Source organism: Homo sapiens, chromosome 5 (assembly GCF_000001405.40).
Source record: "Homo sapiens chromosome 5, GRCh38.p14 Primary Assembly".
Lineage (NCBI taxonomy): Eukaryota > Metazoa > Chordata > Mammalia > Primates > Hominidae > Homo > Homo sapiens.
The window spans coordinates 113,975,635-114,001,338 of record NC_000005.10 but is presented as its reverse complement, the minus strand read 5'-3'; the positions used below and the strand labels follow the sequence as shown (position 1 = coordinate 114,001,338).

Here is a 25,704-nt window from a genome sequence, read left to right as displayed (position 1 = left end):
TCAGCTTCTATGGTTGTACTGGATCTGTACTCTGTCTTTAAGCCAGTAAGATGATAGGCTTCTATTTGAGTCTTAGTTGTTGCCCCTGATTAATCTGAAGTCTCACCTCAGGCTGAAAGCCATAAAAGGTGGGAAACTCCTCTTATGCTGTTTCTGTCATGCAAGTGTTCATCTTCTTCCAGGATCAGCTTGCTATGAGATAACGCCTAGTGCCTTTGGATAGCTGGGTTTTTTTTAATATTTTGCTTAGAGTGTATACTTTCTATTTGCAGAAGAGTTACTTTAGTAGGAACTACTCAGTTATAATCAGAAGCAGAACCCCTAGTTTTCTTATCTATAACATGGGGAATAATAATTATGCATGTCATATTTCTTTCTGGGATTTTTATGTATATCAAATAAATTAGTGCATATGAAAACAACTTGTGAACTTATAGTGCCACAGGGATCATTTGTCATTATTGCACAGATGATAAAACTCTGGGCCAGAGACATGAATTGACAGTAAAATAATTATAGATCTAGTCAGTATCAAAACTAGGACAATAATCTAGGTATCCCAAACCTTAGTCTAGCCCCATTTCAACTATGCCATACAACTTTCTTTATATTTGAAGTTTGTCCCTAGGCACCAAAATATCTACCAGATTTACCCATTTGGTGAAACATCGAGCCAATTCAGCGAAACTAGAATGATCGTTTTTCTGAATCAACTAATCAGCTAACCAAAACAGCTACCCCAACAACAGTTTTTAGAAGAATTGAGAATCAGACAGTGAAAGTTGGGTCTTTCATTGGCCAACACCTCTCAGGTAGAAGATGCTCATAGACTTTCCTTTAGGATTCTTCACCTGCTTCTGAGCACCCCATGCCTTCTTTTAGCTTTAGGGTTAGAGTTAACTCCAGGTTAGTCTAGTCCAATAGTTGTAAGAGGTAAAACTAATTTTTTTTCTTTTGCATCCTCTTATTTTGTGTTAGGTACTGCTAATTGAAAATAAAGTATCCTTGAGTGAGATCATGCAGTTATTTATTTCCATCTTTTACACTAGGTCAGACACCCCACAGTCTATGTGGGAGCAGGGACATGAGTATGTGATGTATTTTCCTGTGTGTTCTTTCTCAGCAACAATGTCATAAGGAGCAACTAGATTCTCACTAAGGCTTGTGAGTTATTCAGATGTTATCTATCCATCTGAACTTGCGTGAGGCAAGGTTATGAACAGCAAACAGAGGAAACTTTATAACAGACTCTTCAGGTTTTATCATGTTTTACCAAAATTTATTACAGAAGTGCCTTGATATCTTCAAATTAGATACTGAAATTCATTTAAAAAATCAGTAGGATGTTGACAAAGTCCCTTAAGCAGCCTTGAACTTTAAAAGTCTTTCATTGCTAGTGCAGCTCTTACCTAAGCTTTGCAGACTATGCAAACCTTTCATCCTAGTCTAAGTAATTATGCATTCTTTATTGATCCTGATCAGAATGTGTGATAGATCACTACAGCACGTTGTGCTTAGGAATCAGTCTCCCAAAAAAAGGTTTTTCCAGATTTATGTTTTGCAAATCTTGAAATGACATACAAATATCCAGGCAGACAACTTGAAATTTGGGTTTTCTAGACCAGTGTTTCCCAACATGTGGTCCATAGACTGCCACTGTCAGAATCCCTAGTTGTTATTTCAAATGAAAATTCCTGAGCTCTAGGTGCACTCTGCCTAGGGATCGTTCCTGAGGGTGGTGGAAGGAAGAAACCTACATCTTTAACAAGGGCTGCAAGCCATTGTGATAACTGACAGTACCACACGGGATCTCATAAATAGTCAAGGACAGGGGATTTTGATTGTAAGATCAGATCTTTGGAAATATATTTTCAGGAAGGATTTCAGGCTTCGACCATGCTGACCTGAAGGGAAGCCCTGACATTCGAGGTATAATGTGTCAGGCATTGAAACTCCTCTATTTCCAGTAAATCAAATGCTGGTATGCCTTCTTTGAACAAATATATTGGCAGCCCTTATTCAGATACAATTTGAATAAAATCTCAAACTCTTAAAAAGTGTACTATGACAATCTTTAGACATTCATTCATTTAACATGTAATTATCAAGCACTTACCATGAGTAGTAATTTTTCTTGGAAGGGAAATACATTAATGACCAGAGAGATGATGCTCTGGCCTCATATAGCTTACATGTTAGTAAGAAAATAAATAAATACATATATATACATACATGCAGATTTTGAACACTGCTGAAGAATAAAGAAAAAGGATGATGATCTACAGGGTGAATGAGCCGTGGGTAAGGGGTGAGGTAGCTAAATAATAAGCTATGGGATAGCTAAATCCCTCTCTCTTGAAAGAAGCTATTGAAAGAAGGACTACCTGAGAGGTTTGATCTGAGAAATTCGGTAAACATTTCAGGCACAGGGAGTAATAAGTATAAAAGCCTAAAGAAGTGGAAAAGAGAGCAATGTAGTGAGAGCCCTGGTGACCAAAGGGTAGAGTGCTATGAGTTTTGATAATTAAGAATATAAGGCATAAAGAAGACTGTGATGTTCTCAGTCCTCTAGGACGTGATCTAGCAAGCTGCCCAAGAATCATCTGATTCTTGGGGACTGTTACTCACTTACCATTATCCATCAATTAAAGCCCAGGCATTTTACATCTTTGTAGAGTTAGATATTAATTTATAGAAAATGGATAAACTGGTTTTTGGTTAGTAGAGCAGATAATCCCAAAGGCTACATTTTAAATTTCTCTGTAGTACATAACCAACATTTTCATTTGGTTAACTAACTTTTCATTCTTATTCCTGCTTTCTTTGCTTTTAGTTTTCTATTCATCTTAAATGTATTTGTGTCTTACGTATTTCTTTAAATCAACTTTGTTACCCCATGGGTTTTCTAATTAATGAGTTAAATAAATGGTTGACACATACTCACTGTAAATTTTTTTAATATTTCAGGAATTATACCTTTGTAGTTGAAGAGGCAGGCAAAAGTTGCTCATACAGGGCCTTGTGGGCCTTGGGATGATCGCTTAGGTTGCTTTTTGGAGAATGGATGGAAAGGAAAGATGGTGGCAACAGAGAGGCTGCTAGAAGCCTGCTTCTGCTTCAGTGGTCCAAGCAAGAGATGAGGTCAGTTGAAGAAAGGAGATGTCTGTGGAGATAAAAGAAATTGAAAAACTCAAGAATAAACTTTTAACTAGCTACTTAGTGAGACTTTGAGTGACTCGGACTCGTGGTATCAGGTAAGTTTTGATTGATGAGGCATACAGTGAGAGACAGGAAACTTCATGAAAAAATTCTACTAACTCATGGAAATCTTAGGAGGGAAACCCAGGGTGTGACATCATTTTGGAGGGCGTGAAACAATATGCCTTTAATAAGGGTGAAAAATAAGGTTCTTATTCCCTTCTTTTAGTCCTGCATGAAAAAAGTGTCCAGAAAAATCAACATAACAAAAATAATATATAAACTAAATTTATAGGAGTAGAAACAGAAGCTTATTAAAGTTTGATGTTAACATTTTTAAAATAGACTTAATTACTATATTATATACATGAGAAAAAAATAAGACTCTGGAGAATATGTAAAAAAAAAAGCTCTTCATAGACTGAGAAGTTTAGATAAATAAAACATCTATTTGACTAAATATGTGCAGGAAATATATGAATAGGCAACCCCCAACATTTTCTCCTGGCTGTGATTTTCAAAAATATATTTAGTGAAGGAACTGTGGAATTTTCAATTTGCTTACCAAACCACTAGGAAGGTCTATTTTATAAGATTCATATCCTCTCCACATCACCATCACAAAATTCATTTACATTTGGATTGAGTTCTAATGCACTCAAGTGATGGTCTTTTGTTTCCCTTCTTTTTTCTAAGCAGCCAGTCAATCAGTATTTTCATTTTACTGCTTTGGATCTGAACTGGTACATTTTCTGACAGCAAAGCCATAGATTGTTAAGGGAGATTACTATATGTACTTACCACTTCAGAGCCTTAACAAACGAGAATTTACTCCTGTCAACAAATTAAATTTTGGCTTTAAAAGCATGCATGCCTTCAAACACCTAGATTATGACTTACAAATCAGAAGTCCTTGCTCAGATTTAGCTCCCATGCATTAGATGTCAAAGTTAACATAAGCAATTGCAAATTACAGAGGCAAAATAAAGACATTCTGTCATTTCGGTACATGTAGTTGAGAAAGCAAGAAAGAAAAAGAGCTCATATATCAACAGTATCGCTGTTGTATAGTTATTGAACTTTTATAAGTAGGAGTCCCCAAGTAATTACTCAGTGCTGAAGGTTGGGACTTATTACATGAAGTATCCATCAAAGCCAAGATGATGAAGAATAAGCAGTTCTGTGTGATTAATAGGTACAGGAGGACAAAAAAAGGAGATTAAGAAAGCCAGTGGGTTTTAGTGATAAAGTAAACCTCAATTCTCAACAAGGCAAAAAATACTCATTCAACCAGCAAGCCATTAAGCTCCCTAGAAAAATACTTATATGCCCCAGGTGAAGGCCTAATATGAGCTTGTCTATGATGGGTACAATTAGGAAATTCATTCATGTAGTTCAATGAGAAATTGTTTCTTGAATTAAAATTCATTGTTAAAAGGGACCAAATTAAGACAGTCTTATAATCAAGATATAGAATGTTATTTCATTTAGTAAATTCAATTGAGAAATTATACTAAAACTGCTATAGGTACAATTAACAAAGAAGCATGTAAAAATGCTATTTCAAGAACCTGTGTGTAATTTTTCCTGCTTATGAATTCCTTCCCTGTGCGCTGCGTATAAGCTATATCTGATGGACTGCCTTAAGGTAGCCAAGTTGAGCAAGTAAAAATACAGAGCAGCCAGTTAAATTTGAATTTCACATGTACACAACTAATATTTTTAGAATGTCTGAAATTTGTTTATTGTGTATCTGAAATTTAAAATGTAGTTGAGTTACCTGTATTTTGTCTGGCAACGTGTTTATGTATTTCTCTGTGTATTCAGTTTTCTTATTACAAGTACTGTTCTTAACAAAAGAACAGATAACATTTATACAGATGGCATCCTTAGAATTACAGAATTTTAGAGCAAAAAGGGACTTAGATATAATGTAGCTGGATAATTTGTTCTATACTTAAGGAAACTTAGATTCAAACAGATTAAAAGACTTGTCAAGATCCCACAAATAGCTAATATCCAGAGATGGAACTGGCATAGGTTTCCCGGATCCCAGTTCTTTCCTTTTCTAGTGTGTGTTGTCTGTCTTAAAACTGAACTGCCAGTTGGTTTTTCATGACAAATATGGACCAGGCTGATCATTTAGACAGATGTACCTATTTACAAATCATTTTGCTTTTCACTTACAAAATCGAAGTGAAAACACAAACACACATGCGAGCATGCACACACAGGAGCCAAAAGGAGAGTTTTAAGGCAATAGGCTGTATATCAAGAACTTTGTAGTCTGGGGCTTCCCAGTTCCCATCCCACCTTTAGGTATTAGTGTCCAAAACTTCTTTCAGGGAATGATCTTTATTCATTGAATATAGTCTATAGTCTTATGAGGCTGTTGATTCAGGTATGCTTCCTAGCCAGAGTGGGCATATGACCAAGCCACGTCAGTTGACAGTTTTTATTTTTTAGCTTTCTTCTAACCTCCAATTTGAATCTTAAGGCAAGCGACAAAAGGTATGCTCCTCCACCTGCTTCAATCCTGAGAGCAAGATGATTTCAGGTCACTTATTGCAACGGAATTGACTGGGCAAGACAATGGAGCAGTTCATACTTCCAAGACACTTTGGAACTAACTGTTTCCTTCTATGTGAAAACTGTTTCTTCAGCTCCCTCATATTCTCCCAATAAATTACTTAAAGAAGCGGAGTTGTTTTCTATTGCTCACTATCAGACACCTGTGATTGACACACAATATTTATATATTTCAAAAAGAAATTGAATGCTAATGCTGGCATAGGAAAAACCTTCAATATCATAGGTAATCCATTAACAGAAGAATCCAAGAGAAAGAGTATTGAGGCACTAGGAATTTAATATATATAACTTCCACTCGTGTGGGTGTAAAAGTGGTTTGAAAAACATTTATAGAATTAAATATGAAATTCAAACTGTTATATAGATTATGGTTAATAAACTTCCAAAGACTTAAATATAAAAACTAAAATGATGAAACTTCCAGAAAAATCATGAGAGAAAATTGTTTTTAACCTTGAGTTAGGCAAGGATTTTTTTGAAAGGCACAAAATGCATGAACCATAGGAAAAAAAGATTGATAAATTGAATCTCATTCATATTACAAACTTTTGCTCTTTAAAAGAAACTGTGCTGGGAAAACTGGCTAGCCATGTGCAGAAAACTGAAACTGGACCCCTTCCTTACACCTTATACAAAAATTAACTCAAGATGGATTAAAGACTTAAATATAAGACCCAAAACCATAAAAACCCTAGAAGAAAACTTAGTCAATATGATTCAGGACATAGGCATGGGCAAAGACTTCATAACTAAAACACCAAAAGCAATGGCAACACAAACCAAAATTGACAAATGAGATCTAATCAAACTAAAGAGCTTCTGCACAGGAAAAGAAACTATCATCAGAGTGAACAGGAAACCTGCAGAATGGGAGAAAATATTTGCAAGCCACCCATATGACAAAGGTCTAATATCCAGAATCTACAAGGAACTTAAACAAATTTACAAGACAAAAACAACCCCATCACAAAGTGTGTGAAGGATATGAACAGACACTTCTCAAAAGAAGACACTTATGCGGCCAACAAACATATGAAAAAAAGCTCATCATCACTGGTCATTAGAGAAATGCAAATCAAAACCACAATGAGATACCATCTCATGCCAGTTAGAATGGTGATCATTAAAACGTCTGAAAACAACAGATGCTGGCAAGAATGGGAGAAATAGGACTGCTTTTAACTGTTGGTGGGAGTGTAAATTAGTTCAACCATTCTGGAAGACAGTGTGGATTCTTCAAGGATCTAGAACCTCAAAGATCTAGAACCAGAAATACCATTTGACCCAGCAATCCTATTACTGGGTGTATACCTAAAGGATCATAAATCATTCTACTATAAAGACACATGCAGCACTATTACAATATCAAAGACTTGGAACCAACCCAAATGACCATCAATGATAGACTGGATAAAGAAAATGTGGCACATATATACCATGGAATACTATGCAGCCATAAAAAATAAGTTCATGTCCTTTGCAAGGACATGGATGAAGCTGGAAGCCATCATCCTCAGCAAACTAACACAGGAACAGAAAACCAAACACCGCATGTTTTCACTCATAAGTGGGAGTTGAACAATGAGAACACTTGGACACAGAGAGGGGAACATCACATACTGGGGCCTGTCAGGGGGTTGGGAGGAAGGGGAGGGAGAGCATTAGGACAAATACCTAATGCATGCAGGGCTTAAAACCTAGATGACGGGTTGATAGGTGCAGCAAACCACCATGGCACATGTATACCTATGAAACAAACCTGCATGTTCTGCACATGTATCCAAGAATTTAAAGTACAATAAAAAAATTAATGAATTTTAAAAAAGAAAATGAAAAGATAAGCTACTGGCTTAGAGAAAAGCTTTAAAAGCTTTTCAAAGAATGTCTGATAAGACGCTTATATCCAGAAGTCTCAGATATATATATATATACGCATATATAAACACACATATATATACGCATATATATACACACATATGTATACATATGTGGATACAAGCCTCTTATCAGACATATTATTTCATATATATATGAAATAGTCATCCTCTCAAAACTCAATAATTAAAAAATTCAGTAATAAATGACTCAAAATTTGAAAAACCACTTTACTACAAAAGACACACAGATGGCAAATAAGCACATGAAAAGATGTTCAACATCACTAATCATTAGGGAAATACAAATTTAAACACAATTAAAAGAATCTCACAGTCAAGAGGAACCTAAGGATTCATGACAACTGAATTTAATGTGGTATTCCAGATGGGATCCTAGAACAGAAAAAGAATATGTGGAAAAAAACTAAGTAAATCTAAACAAAATATGGACTTTAGTTAATGGTTATATATTAATATTGACTCATTGATTGTAAGAAATTTACCATACCTAATGCAAGATGTTAATAATAGGAGAAACTGGACATGTGGAAAATCTCTGTATCATTTTATCAATTTTTCTGTAATAGTTTTCTGTAAAAGCTACTCTAAAAAAGGAATGAAATACACACACATATTCCTATTAGAATGTCTAAAACTGAGAAGACTGACTATATAAAATGTTGATGAGGATGTAGTGGAATTAGCACTCTCATATACTGCTGTCACAGATGTGGAATAGTACAATAACTCTGTAAAACAGTGATTTTAAAATACATAGCCAGAATATATTAAAAAAACAGAAACTCTTACAATTCAGTAATAAGAAAACAAACAATCCCTTATAAATAAGTAGAAAATTTGAACACACACTTTACCGAAGAAGGTATATAAATGCCAATAAGCTCATGAAAAGATACTCAACATCATTACTTATTAGGAAAATACAAATTAAAACCATAACATTACCACCACTTTGCTTAAATGGCTAAAATTAAAGACTGATAATACAAATTAATGGAGAGGGAGCAGAGGAATTGGAACTCTCATACATTCATTGTTGATGGAAATGCAAAATGGTATATTAGTATAACCCATTTTGAAAGCAGTTTTGTAGATTCCCATGAAGTTAAATATGCCTTTACCATATGATTCAGCAATTCTTTGTCTAGTCATTTATTCAACAGAAATGAAAACCTATGTTCATAAAAAATGCAAAAATGTGTATGTGAATGTTTATAGCGGCTTTATTATAAAACAAAGCAGAACCTGGAAACAACCCAAATGTCTGGTATACTCATACGGTGGAACATTACAAAGCAAAAAGGAAGGAGCTACTGATACATGCATAATATGAATAAATTTCAAAACCATTTTGCTAACAGAAAGAAGTTGACCAATAAAAGCTATATATTATATAGTTTGCTTATATGACATTCTGGAAAAAGCAAAACCATAGGAATAGAAATAAAATCCATTGGTAATGAATGGTTATCAATTTTTCACAGAAGTTAAAAAAAAAAAACTCATGTGGAACAACCAAAGACCCTGAACAGCCAAAGTGATCTTGAGCAAAAAGAGCAAAGCTGGAGGCACATAGTATCTGATTTCAAAATATACTACAAATCTATAGTAATCAAAATAGAATGGCACTGGTGTGAAAACAGACTCATCAACGAATGGAACAGGATTGAAATTCTAGAAATAAGTCTTCATTTTATGGTCAATTGATCTTCAACAAAGGTGCCAAGAGCACACAATGTGGAAAAGATAGTCTTTTCAATAAATGGTGTTGAAAAAACTGGATATCTTCCTGCTGAAGGATGAAATTTGACCCTTATCCCACACCATCTGCAAAAATTAAGTTACAATAGATTAAAAACTTAAGTGTAAGCTCTGAAATTGTAAAACTACTAGAAGAAACCGTAGAGGGAAATCTTGACATTGGTCAGGCTATTATTTTATTTTATTTTTGAGACACAGTCTTGCTCTATCGCCCAGGCTGGAGTGCGGTGATGCAATCTCGGCTCACTGCAACTGCTGCCTCCTGGGTTCAAGCAATTCTCCTGCCTAAGCCTCCCAAGTAGCTGAAACTACAGGTGCATGCCACCACACCTAGCTAATTTTTGTATTTTTAATAGAGATAGGGTTTCGTCATGTTGGCCAGGCTTTTCTCAAATGCCTGACCTCAAGTGATCCACCTGTCTCAGCCTCCCAAAGTGCTGGGATTACAGGCATGAGCTACCACGCCTGCCCAATTATTTTAAATATGACTTCAAAATCACAGGCAACAAAAGCAAAAATAGACAAATGGGATTGCATCAAACTAAAAAGCTTCTATACAGCAAAGGAAACAAACAGAGTGAAGAGATGATCTACATAATGGGAGAAAATATTTGCAAACCATACTTCTCATAACAGGTTAATATCTACAATATGTAAGGAGCTGAAATAACTCAACAGCAAGAAAATAAATAAGTTGGAAAATGGTCAACGGACATGAATAAACATTTCCTCAAAAGAAGATATAGAAGTAGCCAAAGGATATATAAAAAATTATCAATATCAGTAATCAGGGAAATACAAATCAAAACCATAATGAGGTAGCACCTAATTACTGTTAGAATGGTTGCATACAAAAGACAAATGATGGCAAGTGCTGGCGAGGATGTGGAGAAAAGGGAAACTTTGTATGATTTTGGTGGGAAAGTAAATTGGTACAGCCATCATGGAAAACAGTACAGTGGCTCCTCAAAAATTTTAAAACAGAACTGCCATATCATTCAGCAATCCTACTTCTGGGCATATATTCAAAAGAAATGAAATAAATATGTTGAAGAGATATCTCCACTCCTATATTCATTATCCACAATAGCCAAGATACAGAATTAGCTTAGCGGCCACTGGTGGGCGAAAGGATAAAGAACATGTGGTGTATATAAACAATGGATTACCAGTCAGCCTTCAAAAGAAGGAAATCTTATGATTTGTGACAACATGGATGAATCTAGAGGACGTTATTCTAAGTGAAATAAGACAGATACTGCATGGTCTCACTTATATGTGGAATCTAAAAAAGTAGAACTCACAGAAGCAGAGAAGAGAATGGAAGTCACCAGGGGCAGAGGGTAGCAGAGGCTGGAGGAGAATGGAGAGATGTTGGTTAAAAGGTATAAAGTTTCAGTAAGACAAGATGAATAAGTTATGGAGATCTGTTGTACAGCATGGTAACTATAGTTAACAAGAATGTATTGTATACTTGAAAATTGCTAAAAGTAGATCTTACATGTTCTCACCAGAAAAAAATGGTACGGTAACTGATATGTTAATTAGCTTTATTTAATCATTTCAACATGTATACATATATATCAAAACATCATGTTGTACACTATATATATGGTGTACAATTTTTTATATATATATATATGTAATATCTGTCAGTTATACATTTGTAAGCCTGGGGAAAAAAAATCCACTTTTATAATAAACCAATATGGAAATGTAAAAAAAGAAATTGATGGTTGTCAGGGTCTGAAGGCTGAGGAGAAGGACTGTAAAGGAGCATGAGTCACTTTTTGTGGTAATGCAAATATGTATCTTGAATTTAGTGGTGGTTACACATTTGACACAAGTCACCCAATTATCCACATAAAAAGGGTGATTTTTATTGTATGTAAAGAATATCTCCAAACACTTAAGAAAAGTTGAGGCAAACCTTGGAAAGAAAAGGAACACAGTTCCAGGAGAGCTATTCCAAGGAGTTTGACATATGCTAGTGAAAAGGTAAAGGCTTTCCCAGTATATTAAAACTGAAGACCTCTGAAAAATTAAAAGAGATTTACGTGGTAAAGGAGGGGAGTGAAGTTATATGCATAGAGTATACCAAACAAAAGAGCAGCTCACACAAAGGATTGGCAGTAGCAAGAAATACAGTGCGCGCCGATCTGGGAAAATGAAAGTAAGCTGCGATGGCAGGATATAGAAAGCAATGCTAGAGGCATAGAGAATAGATAGGGATCAAATTTCACAGGGTCATTTTAACAATTAGGAGTAAGTTCAGCTTCATAGAAAAATAGAAAAACCAAATAATGGGGGCTTAAAGATAAACAGGTTAATATGTGTTTCCCGACATAAAGAAGTCTGAAGAGAGGCACTCTGGGGAGACTTAAGTCACAAGGGATCCAGACTTTGCTTATTTTCTCTAACATATTATTGTATGGCTTCTATTCTGAAGGCCTCCTCATAGTCACAACAATGCTACTGCAGCTCTAACATCACATACTCATTCCAGACAACAGAAAAGAGAAAAGAGTGAGAGCAAAATTATGTGCCTCACAGTCAATTAAGCCTCTTTATGAAAAAAAAAAAAAAAACCCAAAACCAAATAGAGATATGGTCTCACCCCACTGCCCAGGCTGGAGCACAGTGGTGTAATAATAACTTACTGCAGTCTTGAACTCCTGGGCTCAAAGCAACTCCCCCACCTCAACCTCCTGAGTTAACTGGGATTACAGGCATGAGCCACCACACCCAGCCTAATTAAACCTCTTTAAAAGTGCTCTCTCCAAGTCCCATTCAACAATCCCAACTTTCTCTCATCGGCCACTCCTATCTGCAAGTGAGTTATACTGCCACATCCAATACTACAGATTCTTTCAGTAATGGAAAAGGAAACTATGGATTTTAACTGGACAGCTACCAGTCTTGGCCTTAGCCACATAAGCCAGGTAAAGAACTTTGGTTCACTGTAGAAACACTGGAGAGTCATTGAAGGTTTCTAAGCAGGGCTTATGGAGCATGGTGAAACATGATCAGATTTGGAGCTTGAAAATATTACTCAGGCTGCAATCTGGCCAACACCTTCAAAAAGGGACATGTTTGGTACAAGGAGATCAGTAGGAGTGCTCTCAATATTTCCAGTGAAAGATGACTAAGAATTCTGGCACTGAAGGTGGAGAGAAGTACATGTAATCAAGATATTATGGAGAAAAACAATCAAAAGATCACAGTGATGTTTTGATACTGATAGATTAGGGAAAAAGGAGGTATAAAAGATGGAGTACAGGTTTTCAGCTTACCAAGATGAATGGACAGTGGTAACATCTCCTAAGGCAGGAACCCCAGGTCTGGAGAAGATCATGAGTTTGTCTGTGGATGTGATGAATATGAGAGTCCCTAAGGTGCTACAAATATAAGACAGGTAAGGCAATTGGAGAGTTGGAGAAGTTAAGCCATATGAAATTACTAATATTCAACCACTTGATTTGTATAGTTGGATTAAATAAATATGTAGAGCTACTGTCCACCCAAAATGATATGAGTGCCTTTATAAAAAAGCAAGCATTGAATATTCCTTAAGCAAAATTATGCCTGTAATCATACTGCATACTATAGTCATAAAGAATATATAAGTTTCAAGGTTGCATGTTATGAATTCTTCTTTATGCATGATGTGTTTTTGACAGTAGTTATTATTTTTTCTCAAAACAAATTAAAGTAATTAGGATCCATCATAGTGGTTGATATAAATAACTAAAGAAATTTGGAAAAGAAGTAATTCATTTTTGGAGATTTGCCAGTAAATAAATTCTTCAAGTATGACACATTGTTGCTCCTCTGAGATCAGTTAACTGCCTTCTACAAGTCAATCACCAGCTTCCATAAATTCTAATAATCTATCAAATTCTTTCTGTTGTAATATCATTTTGTTCAAAATTTTACCAATTACCATTCAGCTGTAGGTATGAAAACTGAAAGTATTCTTACTATTCACCAATCACAGAACAAGAATAGGTTTCAACAGGCTATTAACAAATGGGAAAAACAAAGATAAAAGTCAAAGTATGACTCTATTAGACCAGATGCATGAAGTTTGATCTACAAACATATTTATTATATTGTCTAGGATGGGGAAAATATTGCAAGTCACATTTGGTAAATAAGATTCATTTCAAATTGTAATATTTTCTCTTTCTCTGCTGCAACTATAATGCTTCAGATAGTTGCATTTTCATGGCCAAAACTATCCAAAGATGCCAACATATAAAATCAAATAATTTGTTCTTAGTGTGACCAGTAACTTCTATTTGAGTCTTATTTGATACAAATTATATAATACATTAATATAAACTATCATACTACATCAAAGAAAACTTGAATTTCTTTGAGAAGTTCTCCATAATTCTATAATTAACAAATAGAATGATCAAACCAAAAAGATAATAATACACATTAGTAATATGTATGTAAGTCTTCTGCCATTATGTTAAGCAACACACACATTGAATAGGAAAAGACTAGCAATCTGGAAATCTGGATTCTTTCACTGCCCAGACTGACTATTCATTGATCAGTCTTTTAAATTCCCAATAAAAATGAAATGAACAGATTAGTTAATATTTAAATTTCTTTCCATTTCAAAAATTCTGACACCTTGAAAGTTTACAAAAATAGGAAAAGATTAACTTGGGATTATTGTATTAGTACCACTGTTCAATAACTTTTCCACCAAAGTAACTCCAATGGCAAAGACTTCAGTCACTACTCCATGGGCTTCACCGTGGTATAGCCTGAAGTGACAAGTTTTATTTTTATTTCTAGATTTATTTTTAATCTATTTTCCATTACATTCCATAATATATTTGTGTAAGATTTATTGTAACAATAATATGTTTTGTAAACCTCTATGCACAATTAGCACTCTGGGATTATCCATTATGTTTATTGAATGACATTGAATATACACTGTAGACCCTCCTATACTCCAAAGCCCAGTTTGAGAAATGTATACAAGTAGCAGAGAAAAGAAGTCTATGCCAGTGTTGAAAACTCAAACGCTATAAAACCCCAGGCAAAAACACAAATGAGTAGCATAGGGTGGTGCTGCAGTAGGCTGTGGAGGGGACTATAGCAATCTTTGGATGACCTAAAGGAATAGTCATTACTCAACTCCAACCCAACGGTTGCTCAGTATGGCCAAATATTCTGATTCTTCAGGGAAGACAAAATGATGAATTTTATATGAAATTTTCAGGTTTTTTTTTTGTTTTTTTTTTTTTGAGACGGAGTCTCGCTCTGTGGCCCAGGCTGGAGTGCAGTGATGCGATCTCTGCTCACTGCAAGCTCCGCCTCCTAGGTTCACGCCATTCTCCTGCCTCAGCCTCCCGATTAGCTGCAACTACGGGTGCCCACCACCACATCGGGGTAATTTTTTGTATTTTTCATAGAGACAGGGTTTCACCGTTTTAGCCAGGATGGTCTCGATCTCCTGACCTCGTGATCTGCCCGCCTCGGCCTCCCAAAGTGCTGGAATTACAGGCGTGAGCCACAACGCCCGGATCCAAAATTTCACCTGTTTTTAAAACACCATGCATACAAAATAAAACAGGTCAGCTGGCCAGATTCAGCCTAAAGCCTTCTGGTTTGGGGTCCTTGGTTCTAAAGCCTGCTCCAGGAAATTAGTTCAATTATACAGGAGAGAGAGCATCTCCATAGAGGACCGAGTAGAAAAACATTTTCAAAGTCAGAGTGAAGGCTGTGGAGTTCTGAGGGCAACAGTAGAATTTTCTTCCTTTCAGCTAGATCATTAAAAGCAGAAAAGACATCAATTTTTTACAATCATTATGGGCAGCTTAGCCTGGAGGCAGAAAGCTGAATCAGACGGGCTTGACTTTTAGGATGATGGGAAAGTCATGCGTTTTTATGTTAGCATTTAACCTTGGAATAATGACAACATACTTGAAAACCAGGTCAAAGAGCTATGGCAAATAAATGAAATACATTTAAAAGCTACATGAGTAAATGCCAAGCTGTGGTCCATATAGCAATCTATGATATTGTGGCTTCAACTTTTTCCACTCACAGGAGAAAGCGAAAAAGGAGCAGCTGCTGACATTCAGAAACTGATGTGGGTGGCACCGACAGCTGGATAATGTTATTCTTTTCCCGAACATTAACAGTCTCACAGAGTACCAACCTCAAACAAGGTTACTCTGATATCATGGGTAGAATGAGACAATATGGAGCAACTACATAATTTTTTCTAAGCCAATATAAAAGCAAAGTCACTGTGCCACTCACAAAATACCAAGCACTCTCTTTCGGCTAAAATGAATGATGGCTACTTCTTTACCAGTTAGAGCTTTAGCCTTGCTCTAGTCTCCCCTCTTTATAAATAAGATCTATTGAGAATTGACCCTGCTTTCTGACGGCCAATTTAGAGAAAAGCTCACCTTTCTTAAACCCTTCCCCAAGTCACCCAACTAAAGATCAAATCTTGTAACAGGTTCTCACTAACATTCTGTCACTGAGACATCTCATATCTCTCCATGGTGTCTGTTCTTCCTTGTTACAATGATCAATAAATCCAACATGTTTTACCACAGAGGTGTCCCTGCTGTTCTTTTCCTGAAGGTCATCCACATGTGTGAACAATCAGAATAGTTTACCACACAATCAATCCATTTAGGGCAAAAGGTGATGACCTTGAGGGTGGCTGGCATGACTATGCCCAGCGGAAAGCACTTTCCCTGACACGTACAGTTGGGGCTTACCTCATTCTATTTCTGCTCCTTGCATGTTGCTTGATTAGGCAATTTTTCTGTCCTTGATAAATGCAGAGGTTTTGCAGGGCTTTCTGAGATTCATTATTCAGACAGCAGATAACCAGTGTTTACACATTTACTCTGTGTGACCTTACTCAAAAACCAATGAAGTACAAACAATCCTCTTAAAAGATCAAATTGAGAGTAAAAATTGTATTGTAGCATAAATAAATACACTTCAAGGAAGGCAAGGCTTGCATTCTCTCTCAGTTGTATAAAAGACAAGCAATTAAATTCCAAAATGCTATTAAGCATGGCATTTAACAGGAAAATATATTTTGTTTGTGTGGCTTCAGAAGAATATAAATGTAGTCATGTGTAGAACAGGATGTAATCTGGCAAATTTGTAGACACAAGGGAAACGTTATATTCAGTTTAGGTAAATAAGTGTCAAAACAGTAAAATGTAAAACCGGGACAGCCAACATTGTTAGATGTCTGCGGCTTTTTCTTGACATTAGTTCTGTTACCAACACAGAAAAAGCTATACAGACATTTACTTCTACTCTATAATAACAGAATTGTTAAACTTTTATTATGGACTTAAAAACAAATAAGAAAATAAAACAAAAAACAAAGGCCCATATATATGTCCTGTAGACATAATATATGCAACTAATATATACACATAACGATATCCAAACAAAATACAAAACTACAAAATAAAACATCTACCCTTCCCTCGTTTCCAAACTGTTTCCCCAATATAACCATTGTTAATAATATTTTATGTATCCTTTGAAAAAATTAAAAATGCTTTATTGAGCTATGACTACACACTCAGAATGGCTTAAAAATGTTAGTGTAATTCAAAATGCTGGTGACAATGCAGAGAAACTGGAATTATTATTATTATAATTTTTTTTTGAGATAGAGTCTCACTCTGTCACCCAGGCTGGAATGCAGTGGCATGATTTCAGCTCACCAAAACCTCTGCCTCCCAGGCTCAAGCGATTCTCCTGCCTCAGCCTCCTGAGTAGCTGGGATTACAGGCACCCACCACCATGCCTGGCTAATTTTTGTATTTTTAGTAGAAATGGGGTTTCACCATGTCAGCCAGGCTGGTCTTGAACTCCTGACCTCAAATGATCTACTCACCTCAGCCTTCCAACATGCTGGGATTATAGGCGTGAGCCACTGGAATTCTTATACATTGTAGAATGTAAAATGGTACAGCCACTCTGGAAAACTGTTTGACCATTTCTTACAAAATGAAAGATGTACTTACTATATGACCCAGCAATAACAACCTTGGGCATTTACCCCAGAGAAGTGAAAACTTACACACACATACACACACACAGACACACACCTGTACATAAAGATTCATAGCAGCTTTATTCACAATAGCAAAAACTAGAAATAATCCAAATGTCCTTGGATAAATGGTTAAACAAATTCTGGTACATCCATAAAATGGAACACTGCTCAGCAATAAAAAGAAACAAACTATATGTGCAGCAAACTGAATGGTATTCAAGTGCATCATGCTTAATGAAAACAACCGGTCTCAAAAAGTTGCATACTATATGATTCCATTCATATAATATTCTCAAAATGACAAAATTACAGAGGCTAAGAACATATTAGTTGTTGTCAGGGTGGATGGGTGGAGTATAAAAAAATGACATGAAGAGTTCCTTGTAGTGAAGGAGCAGTTCTGTATCTTGATTATGGTAGTGGCTACACAAACCTGTACATGACGTAAAGTTGTATAAAATTACACACACACACACACACGCACACACTCACAGAGGAATGTATAAAAAATCATGAAAACTGAATGAGATATGTAGTTTAGTTATCAGTATTGCACCAAAGTCAATTTTGTGATTTCAATATTGTACTACCGTTATACAAGATAATCATTGTTGGGTGAAGAGCACACAGGACTCTCTGTGCTATTTTTTCAACTTCCTGGAGTCCATAATTATTTAAAAATAAAAAGTTTTTTAAATGTTACATATATAACAGCTGTGAAAATTAGTATGCTCTTGGCTACCAGGAGCAGAAGATTCCAATTAAATTGCCTTAAAAAATACAGATAACTGTCTCCTATAACAAGAAACCAGAAAATATCATAGGTCAAAGACTAATTAATTAAGTGTTCAACAACATCATCAAAGATTCTGGATTTTTCTGTGTTTGTACTCTGTCATCATTGGCACATAAGCTTGGCCCTTAAGCTAGTTTTTATCATGGCCCCTAAATTACTATCAAAATTAGTTTTATCATTGATGAAAGAAATTCAAGAGTACACAAACAAATGGGAAGACATCTTATATTCATGAATTAATATTGTTAAAATAACCATACTGCCCAAAGCAATTTACAGATTCAATGAAATCTGTATTAAAATACCAATGTCCTTTTTCACAGAAATAGAAAAACAATACTAAAGTTCACATAGAACCAAAAAAAGTCAGAATAACTAACGCAATCTTGACCAAAAAAACAAAGCTAGAGGCATGAAAGTGCCTGGCTTTAAAATATGTTACTGGGCTATATAACCAAAACAGCATTGGTATTGGTATTCTGTCCAATGGAAAAGAATAGAGAACCCAAAAATAAATCAACATATTTACAACCAACTTATTTTCTACAAAAGTGCCTAGAACATCCACTAGAGAAAGGACATCCTCTTCAATAAATGGTGCTGGGAAAATTAGATAGCAATATGCATAAGAGTGAAACTAGACCGTCGTCTCTCACCATATAGAAAAATGAATTCAAGCTGGATTAAAGATTTAAATGTAAAACTCAAAACTATAAAACTACTAAAAGCAAACAGAGAAAACACTTCAGAACATTGGTCTAGGCAAAGATTTTATGGCTAATACCTCAAAAGCACAGACAACTAAAACAAAAATCGACAAATGGGAATATATTAAACTAAAAGGCTTCTGCACAGCAAAGGAAACAAAAGAGTGAAGAGACAATCTGTTAAATAGGAGAAAACATTTGCAAACTATTCATCTGACAAGGAACTAATATCCAGAATATACAAGGAATTCAAAGAACTCAACAATAAAACAAAATAAAACAATGAAAAAAAACCCCCACAAATAATCCCAATAAAAGGTGGGCAAAGGACATGGACAGACAGTTCTCAAAAGAAGACGTGCAAATGGGCAGCAGGTAAATGAAAAAATGCTCAACATCACTCATAATCTGGTAAATGCAAATCAAAACCACAATGATACATCATCTTACCCCAGTTAGAATGGCTATTACTAAAGAGACAAAAAATAACAGACACTAGTGAGGATGTGGAAAAAAGGGAACTCTTATACATTGTTGATGGGAATGCAAATACAGCCACTATGGAAAATAATATAAAGATTTCTCAAAAATATAAAAACAGAACTAACATATGATCCAGCAATCCCACTACTGGGTATCTATCCTAAAGAAAATAAATGAGTATATCCAAGAGATAACTGCACTAGTGCATTTATTGCAACACTATTCACAAGTAACTAGAAGAGAAGACTTGAATTTTTCCCAATACATAAAATGACAAATGCCCAAAGTGATGAACACCCCAAATACCCAGACTTGGTGACTACATTACACATTCTGTGTAAGTAACAAAATATCCCACGTACTCCACAAATATATAACATATTATTTATCAATAGTAATAGTGTTAACATATCCAGTGGTAGAGGCCATTCCTTGTTATTATCTCTTTTAATCAAAGAGGCAAATATTTACTAGGATCCCACCTCCTAACTTTCTCTCATGTCTTATTGTCAGTGTCATATCCCTACTCCTAACCCAAGTGTTGGGCTAGTGGGTGGGAAGGTATGCACGAGTGGAACCACCATGACTGATGTAGCCCAATCATGATCTACCCCAGGGGATTCAAAAGAAGATAAATATCTACCACCAAGAGTTAAATAAGTTAATGCACATGCACATGAGGATATACCACAGCGACATTCAAAAATGAACTAGATATTTGTGGGCTGATATGAAAATTTTTCAAAAATCTAATATGAAGTGTAAAACAAGATATAGAAGTACATACATAACATGATACCTATTGGGTGCATTTTGTAAAAGGGTAGCAAACAATGTTGGTATACTCTAATTCCTTGCTTTTTAACAATTTTGTTCTAATTTTATTCTGGAAAATACACTATTATATTTAATAAATAGGGCAACTTCTCATACCTTCACTAGTACCAAATCTCCTCACTTTTGCTAATTTAATACACTAAAACTGGCACGACATTATTGTTTGGGCTTATATATTTTTAATTAAGAGTGAGATAATATTTATTTTCATATTCTTTTGAACATTTGACTTTGTTTACTTTAACATTTTCAATCAAGTTTTTTCTCATTGAATTATATGAATTTTAATAAGCCTAAGAAACTTAGCTTTTTATGTCATAAATATTGCAAATCATTTACCTCTTCTATATTTAGTTTTACTTTGTTGAAGATACCATTGGCTATTCTGAAGTTCCTAGTTTTTATACAACTAAATTTATCAAAGTTTTTCCTTTCTTGGTTTTGTAATCTGTTTTTGAGGGTTTCCCTTATATGGTTATAAAGAAATATCCAGGCTATCTTGTAAAATAGCACTGATCAATAGACCTTTCTGCAGTGATAGAAATATTCTATATCTGCACTATCCAATTGGTAGCCACTAGTCCTAAGGGGTTATTGAGCACTGGAAATGTAGTTGGTAAAACTGAGGAAATGAATTTCCAGTTTTATTTAATTTTAATTAATTTGTATGTAAATAGCTTCTTGGGGCTAGTTACTACCATATTGAGCAGTGCAATTCTAAAATCTTTATGGTTTCATTTTTCAAGATATCTAAATGCTTGAGTCTTCAGGAATTTATTTGAATAAAAGGAATAATTTATCAGAATTCAAATAAGAAATTTTTGTGTTACCTTTGGAACACACAGACCACCTCGAGATTCAAATGAAAATTGTAAAACCTACCTCCAGAAAAATGACCATATTGAGAACAGACAGAATTTTGAAGCTTATATCCTGTTGGCATGAAATAAACAATAAACAAGTAAATAATAAAACAAGATAATTTCTGATGATAATAAGGGTCAAGAAAGAAATGAGACAGAGTTCTGAGACAGAGATTGACTGTGGGGACGGAAGGTGGGAGACTTTAGAGAGGACAGAGACCACTCTAGGAAGAGGACATTTGAGCTGAAAGCTTAAAGATAAGCAAGAGCCAGCACTGTGGACAGCTGGATAAAGAGCATTTCAACAAGAGCAAGGACTTAGAAGCAGGAATAAATTTTACTCTTTGGAGGGCAGAAAAGATGTCTGGTGAGGGTACAGGCCCGTGCGTGAGGAAAAAGTAAGATGAGATGAGGTTAGAGCACACAGGGGCCACATTGCATTGCTTACAAATTGTGAAACTACAACTCAGATAAGTTAAACAAGCAAGCCAAGTTCAAACATGATTGGAAGTGGCAGAGGCACGCCTGCTCTCAACCATTAAAGTGCCTGTCCTATGGTGTCCTGATTCCACAGGACAGTATGATTAGCTCAGCAAGACCCTAACCAGTTCCCCATCAAATTTTAGAGAGTGTTAATAAAGAAGGATATGAAAATGTTAAGATATTAAGATTCATTAATCCAGCCAAAAATATTTATTGAGGGCTAAGTATGTACAAGGCATTGAATAAATTCTGTGGTATATTCAAAGAGGTGGTGCCCAGATATAATGAAAAGAATACCAAATTGACAGTGTGCTTAGGTGCTTAACCTTTCTTTCCTTCATCTTTTAATACCAGTAGCAGCCCCCCACAGTGGGATATGTCCATGTAGAAGGTTTTGCCCAACATCTGGCACACAGTTAAATGCTCAGTAAATCTTAGTTCCAAAACATATTAAAAATTAAAAGACTTGATTCAAGCTTTGACCTTGATGGTTACTTACTGGACGACCCTGGGCAAGTATTTTCTCATGTGCAAATTTTTAAAAAAAAAGTAGGAAGAATCAATATCGTGAAAATGGCCATACTGCCCAAGGTAATTTATAGATTCAATGCCATCCCCATCAAGCTACCAATGACTTTCTTCACAGAATTGGAAAAAACTACTTTAAACTTCATATGGAACCAAAACAGAGCCCGCATCATCAAGTCAATCCTAAGCTAAAAGAACAAAGCTGGAGGCATCACGCTACCTGACTTCAAACTATACTACAAGGCTACAGTAACCAAAACAGCATGGTACTGGTACCAACACAGAGATATAGATCAATGGAACAGAACAGAGCCCTCAGAAATAATGCCGCATATCTACAACTATCTGATCTTTGACAAACCTGACAAAAACAAGAAATGAAGAAAGGATTCCCTATTTAATAAATGGTGCTGGGAAAACTGGCTAGCCATATGTAGAAAGCTGAAACTGGATCCCTTCCTTACACCTTATACAAAAATTAATTCAAGATGGATTAAAGACTTAAACGTTAGACCTAAAACCATAAAAACCCTAGAAGAAAACCTAGGTATTACCATTCAGGACATAGACATGGGCAAGGACTTCATATCTAAAACACCAAAAGCAATGGCAACAAAAGCCAAAATTGACAAATGGGATCTAATTAAACTAAAGAGCTTCTGCACAGCAAAAGAAACTACCATCAGAGTGAACAGGCAACCTACAAAATGAGAGAAAATTTTCGCAACCTACTCATCTGACAAAGGGCGAATATCCAGAATCTACAATGAACTCAAACAAATTTACAAGAAAAAAACAAACAACCCCATCAAAAAGTGGGCAAAGGACATGAACAGTCACTTCTCAAAAGAAGACATTTATGTAGCCAAAAAACACAAGAAAAAATGCTCATCATCACTGGCCATCAGAGAAATGCAAATCAAAACCACAATGAGATACCATCTCACACCAGTTAGAATGGCGATCATTAAAAAGTCAGAAAACAACAGGTGCTGGAGAGGATGTGGAGAAATAGGAACACTTTTACACTGTTGGTGGGACTGTAAACTCATTCAACCATTGTGGAAGTCAGTGTGGCGATTCCTCAGGGTTCTAGAACTTGAAATACCATTTGACCCAGCCATCCCATTACTGGGTATATACCCAAAGGATTATAAATCATGCTGCTATAAAGACACATGCGCACGTATGTTTATTGTGGCACTATTCACAATAGCAAAGACTTGGAACCAACCCAAATGTCCAACAATGATAGACTGGATTAAGAAAATGTGGCACATATACACCATGGAATACTATGCAGCCATAAAAAATGATGAGTTCATGTCCTTTGTAGGGACATGGATGAAATTGGAAATCATCATTCTCAGTAAACTACCGCAAGGACAAAAAACCAAACACCGCATATTCTCACTCATAGGTGGGAATTGAACAATGAGAACACATGGACACAGGAAGGGGAACATCACACACTGGGGCCTGTTGTGGGGTGGGGGGAGTGGGGAGGGATAGCATTAGGAGATATACCTAATGCTAAATGACGAGTCAATGGGTGCAGCACACCAGCATGGCACATGTATACATATGTAACTAACCTGCACATTGTGCACATGTACCCTAAAACTTAAAGTATAATAATAATAAAATAAGATAAAAATAAAAAATTTTAAAAAAACATAAAAAAAGTTTGCCTTTTTAATTAGCATGGTGGCTATGATTAAATAAACAATTTTAAATGCAAGCACTTTGTGAAACTTTCATGTGTTAGACAAAGGTAAGAATTGTTTATATCTTAATTAGAGTAAAATTTAGTCCCTGCCCTGAAGGAGCTGACAATGTGAAAGGCAATGTTTAACAGGACAGAAAATAAAAAGCTTTTGATCAAAAACATAAAGAAAGAGTATTAATTCTCCCAACAATTTATCTGGTGCTGATCTATAGGTTTGTCAAGCGTAATTATAGAAAGACAGAAACAATAGTCTACTATCTGTCCTAAAAGCAGAAACACATAGAAATGGTGTTATACTGAAAAAAATCCAGATTGGCTCAGAGGAAAAAAATTCTTTGTAGTGACGGTGATTTTGCCATTACATCAGGCTTGCACATTGAAGGTTTACTTTTTGTAAACCCACTCTGTTTCAAGTATATTGCTACGTGTTGTATCCAGAAAATAAGAAAGATCTCATCACTGTTCCTTAAATAGTTCGCTGAAAGGTCAAAGAAATGTTGTCATGTATTTTTTCTCTAGCATCTTTATATATGATATAGATGATTATCTCTTTAGGAAATTTAGAAATAAACCCATCACAAAATAAGAAAATAATAAATTACATAATTTCTAACCTTTTCTTAGAGAATTTTATTCTGTGGATCCTAAACTGACATTGGCAACCCTAGACCACTGAAAAAGATTCTTAGCTGAACTCATTATCTGTGGTATATTTCCCTTTGAATAGTCTTACTCAACTGTCAGAGTGATGTTTGAAAGCCTGAATCTGATTGTGCCCTCCCCACTTCAAATAACTCCACCTGCTATGATCCTTACTGTGGCCTCCTGTCTCACTTCTCTTGGCCCTGGTAATCTATCCATCCCAAACTACTGATATGCCCTCAAAGAAGCCCATGTATAACATACCATCCTGGCTCTGCTCTAACAGCTCCTTATGCCTGTAATGCCCTACTTGCCATTTATGCCTGATAAACAGCTGCTTATCTCAACTGCCACAGGACTTTCTGATTCTCTCCCTCCCTGAACCTCTATCTATCTGGCGGCCACTCCAGACACATTGACCCCTTCTCTTATATAGCTCACTATAGCCTGTGCATCCTGCTAAGGAGCTACTTATGACAACTGATGGTACCCCTCGGGTAATATTTTGTCAATTCCTACCAAATCTCAATTGTTTAATGTCATAGATCATATCTTACTGATTTTAGTATACCACATACATGTTTTGGAATGAGTTACTAACTTAATGAGCTAATATCTGTAGAAGGACACACTTCCCATTCTGTTCCCTATTATGAATCACAACAAGCTCAGCTGAAAACAGTAATAATGGTTCTATTTGTCCTGAACTGTGAATCTGAGATCTGATTGGTGTTTCAGGCATGCTACTGACTTCCTAACAGATTAAGATAATGCTCTTAAGTTCCCAATATTGTCTAATAATGTCCTATCTAATAAGGAGCCTAACTTTTTTTATCTTTCCCTTGAGTTCTCAGTTAATAGTCAATCAATTCTTTACTCATTACATCCTAGAAAGTCTAGTCTAAAACCCATGCAGACTTGATGCTTTACATTCAAGGTATGCTAAATATGTAGGGGCTTGGAAGACTTTCTACTGACCAAGATGATTTTCAAGCCATCATGTGAATATCTAACATCAAAAATGTCTCCATTTAAAGAGGAATTCAAATAGCTTTGTCTTGAATGAATCAGTGGCTTGGTATTATCCAGCTTTCATTTTCTATGCCATGG

The 25,704-nt window shown here is 35.6% G+C and overlaps 1 long non-coding RNA gene across 1 annotated transcript in view; it reads right to left on the bottom strand.

The window, feature by feature from the left end:
* Positions 1–2,940: 2,940 nt before the first annotated feature.
* Positions 2,941–25,704, bottom strand: part of LOC124901047 (uncharacterized) — a 192,316-nt gene continuing 169,552 nt past the window's right edge. The window contains exon 2 of the long non-coding RNA XR_007058906.1: positions 2,941–3,163. This is a non-coding gene — a long non-coding RNA (uncharacterized LOC124901047). The remainder of the gene's footprint in view (positions 3,164–25,704) is intronic.